The sequence below is a fragment of the Homo sapiens genome, chromosome 5, assembly GCF_000001405.40.
Source record: "Homo sapiens chromosome 5, GRCh38.p14 Primary Assembly".
Taxonomy (NCBI): domain Eukaryota; kingdom Metazoa; phylum Chordata; class Mammalia; order Primates; family Hominidae; genus Homo; species Homo sapiens.
This window is the reverse complement of record NC_000005.10, coordinates 67689381-67693465: the sequence shown is the minus strand read 5'-3', so window position 1 is coordinate 67693465 and position 4085 is coordinate 67689381. Positions and strand designations below refer to the sequence as shown.

General features: G+C 36.8%; 1 pseudogene; it reads left to right on the top strand.

The window, feature by feature from the left end:
- On the top strand, window positions 3027-3506 carry LOC359819 (mitochondrial ribosomal protein L39 pseudogene; annotated as a pseudogene).

Sequence of the window (4085 nt, the reverse complement as noted above, 5' to 3'; positions counted from 1 at the left end):
AGTTTTATGACTCTATGTTCTTTTCTGTTGTTATGAAATTGCTGTTGCTCTTTGGAGGAAGAAATCAGTTTTTCTAACTCTTGATGAATAAATGCTTCACATCTCACCCACGCGCACTCTTCCTTTAGGTGGTTTTGCTGTTAATTCGCTTTAACTACCTCTTTCTTCTCTGTGTTTGGTCTTCTAAAACTGGTTCTGCATAATAAATCCTAATAGTCCTGTTGTGGATGAAGAACTAAATTTAAAAATGTAACTTCTCACCAAGATGTCCCTGAAAGTTAACAAGGAAACCTCTGCTCCTCCCAAAGTCAAGATAAAGCAAAGTCTTTGAAGGCCAAAAAGGCAGTGCAGAAAAGTATCCACAACCATACTCAAAAGATCCTCACACTACTCCACTTCTGGTGGCCCAAGACTCTGCAGCTTTTAAGGCAGCAAAATGTCCTTAGAAAAGTACCACCAGGAGAAGCAAGCTTGATCACTCTGCCATCATGTTCCACTTGAATCAGACAAGAATAGGGAAGACAATACATATGTGTTCATTTTAGATGTCAAAACCAACATGCACCAGTTCCAAAGGCTGTGAAGAAGCTTCATGACACTAACATGGCCAAGATCAACACACTGATCAGGCCTGATGAACAAAAAAAGGCTTGACTATGATGCTTTGGATGTTGCCAACAAAATTGGGATCATCGAAAGAACACTCAGATGGCTAATTTTAAATACAAAAATTTCAGATTTCTTTGTGATTCTGTGATTAGTTCAGCTTGACAAGAAGAAGAGAGAAAGGAAAATGGCATTTCTGTCCTCATGTTTCTCCTCTTTGTGCATCTAGATGATGAATGGTGGGTGAATGGGGGCAAAAGGTCTTGGTCAATAAAAGAAAATCTGAAAATCTTCCTGAGGCCATCTGTGTCTAGGTTTTAAATTCTTCGCTCGGTGGAAGAGATTTGATGATGAGAATTCAGAGATACAATCCTTTTCTTATCCTACCTATGTCAATAGCTCTTGATTCAAATGCTATTATTAAATTATTTTTTCATTCATTCAGCAAAGATTCATTGAGCACATATTATGTGCTAGCTTTCACTCTAGCTCCAGGGTTACAGCTCTGAAACACTTGACAAATGTTTCTACCTTCATAGACTTCACTTGTACTAAGAAGAGATGGACATTAGACAAGTAAATAAGTGGATTCAGTAGAATGTCAGATGGCTGAAAATGTTATGGAGAAAAATTAAGCAGGAAGGGTCATGAGGAGTAAGAGGGGAATGAACATTGAAGTTTGGCAGGGTGGGCAGGCAGGACTTGGCTGAGAAGAAAATATTTGGGTAAATATCTAAAGGAGGGGGCAGAGTTGGATGTGGATATTTGCAGGAAGAGCATTCCAGGCAGAAGAAATAACAAATACAAAGCCCTGAACATGTACCAGACAGAACATTTGTCAAAGCATCTCATCTCTCTTCTACCGTAAAATAAAATTCTGCTCTAACAGGGTAGTGAAGAACGTATTAATCCTGCACCAATACTATTGTTCATTTAGCTCACAAGTTCATTACCACAATTTGATGGTATGAACTGCCTTGGAACTTGGTCCATGTGTTAACATTCATCGTATTTTGTTTTCTTTTTGTTTTTATTTTGTACTGGTAACACATAAATACTTTCTTGTTGAAAAGATGCAAACAATAGGCCTGGCGCGGTGGCTCACGCCTATAATCCCAGAACTTTGGGAGGCCGAGTCGGGTGGATCACGAGGTCAGGAGATCGAGACCATCCTGGCTAACACAGGGAAACCCCATCTCTACTAAAAATACAAAAAATTAGCCGGGCGTGGTGGCTGGCGCCTGTAGTTCCAGCTACTCGAAAGGCTGAGGCAGGAGAATGGCGTGATCCCAGGAGGCGGAGCTTGCAGTGAACCGAGACCACAACCGTGCACTCCAGCCTGGGCAACAGAGTGAGACTCCATCTCAAAAAAAAAAAAAAGATGCAAACAATACAGAAATTTATAGAGTGAAGTGTGGTTACCCCATCCAACTTCTCTTGCTATACTTCTTATCAACCTACCAACGTTCTTACTTCAGAACAAACTACTGTTAATAGTTTGATATACATTCATCAGTCATTTTTTCATTTATATATGCATGTATATGAAGACGTAGTTTTTTTCATAAATGGGATCATACTTTACACGTTTTTTTGACAACTTGCTCTCAACATTGTGGAAGATTTATCTGAGTTATAGAGAAAGGTCTCTTATATTCTATAATAAAAGTGGAGTATTTCATGGTACAGATTTGCCACACATTATTCACACTCCCTATTGAAGGGTTGTTTTTATTTTTTAAATCACAAAAAGTGAATCTCTTTGTATGAAACTTACGGTGAAAATATGTAAATGTTTCTCTAAGATAGACATCCAGAATTTTGAGTAGATGGATATATGTGAGGTTTGTTATTTACTTTTTTGTAATGGTGATATACAGAGGTATGATCCACATACCATAAAATTTACCCAAAGTATAAAATGTAATGATTTTAGTATATTCGGAATTGTGCAATCAATAAATTTTAGAACATTTTTATTACCCCCCCAAAACACACAAACCATCTAAGCCATCACTCCTCAATCTTCTCCTCCCTTTCGGGGAAACCCCTAATCTACTTCTGTCTCTATAGCTTTACTTCTTATGGATATTCCATATAAATGGAATCAGAAAATTTTTGGTTTTGTGTCTGCCTTTTTTCACTTAGCATAATGTTTCTAAGGTTTATTCACATTGTGGCATGCATCAGCACTTCGTTTCTTTTAACTGCATAATAATATTCATTTGTACGAATATACATTTTATTTATCCATTTATTGGTTGATGGATATTTGGGTTGCTTACATCTCTGAGCACTTATGAATAACGCTGCTATGAATATTAATGCACAAATTTTTATGTAAACTTATATTTTTCATTCTCTTGGGTGTATACCTAGGAGTGGAATTCTTGTGTCAAATGGTAACTCTCTACATTGAGCAAAAGAGAACCTACGTTCCTTCACAAAGGACGTTCATGCTTTAATTTATAAAGATCTTTCATTTCAAACTCTGGATGCTGAAGCAAAAGTGGCATTGGAAATATTACAACACAAGTACAAAACAGATTTCACAGAAAAGAAGGCATCTCAGAACCCTGAGAGAATAGTCAAGCTACACAGAATAGGTAATTTCATTGATGTGAGTGAGGGCCCTCTGATTCCAAGAACAAGTATTTGCTTCCAGTATGAAGTGTCAGCAGTTCACAATCTTCAACCTAACCAGCCAAGTCTTATATGAAGATTCCAGGGTCTGTCTTTACCCATTCACTTAAGAGCACGTTTTACGATATGGGATAAGCTATTGGAAAGATCTCATAAAATGGTAACTGAAGATCAAACTAAACTGATAAAGCAAAGTGCATCTGCCTAATAACTTTCCAAAATTTAAATATGTATAGTAAGTTAAATGTTTTTAATATTTAAAAAACATTTTAAGGACTGGCAGACTGTTTTCTAAAATGGCTACACCACTTTAAAATCCCACCAGCAGTGTATGAAGGTTGCAATTTCTCCATATTTTTACCAGCACTTGGTATTATCTGTCGTTTTGATTGTAGCCATTCTAATGTGTGTCAAGTAGCATCGCATTGGAGTTTGATTTTCATTATCCTGAAGAATAATGATGTTGAGTATCTTTTAATGTATTTGTGGGCCATTTTTATATATTCTTTGCAGAAATGTCTAGTCAGATTCTTTGCCGATTTTACATTCTATGTTCAATGATCTTGGCATGCTGGTCTGAAGTCAATTGTCCACAAATGCGAGAATTTATTTCTGGATTCGCTGTTCTATTCCATTGACCTTTACATGTATTCTTATGCTGGTATGACACTGTCTTGCTTATATTTGCTTTGTAGTAAGTTTTGAAATAAAGAAGTGTGAATCCTCCAACTTTGTTCTTTTCCAAGATCATGTTGGCCGTTTTGGGTCTCTTCCATTTTCATATTAATTTTAAAATCAGCTAGTCAAATTCTGCAAAAAAGTGAGCTGGGGTTTTG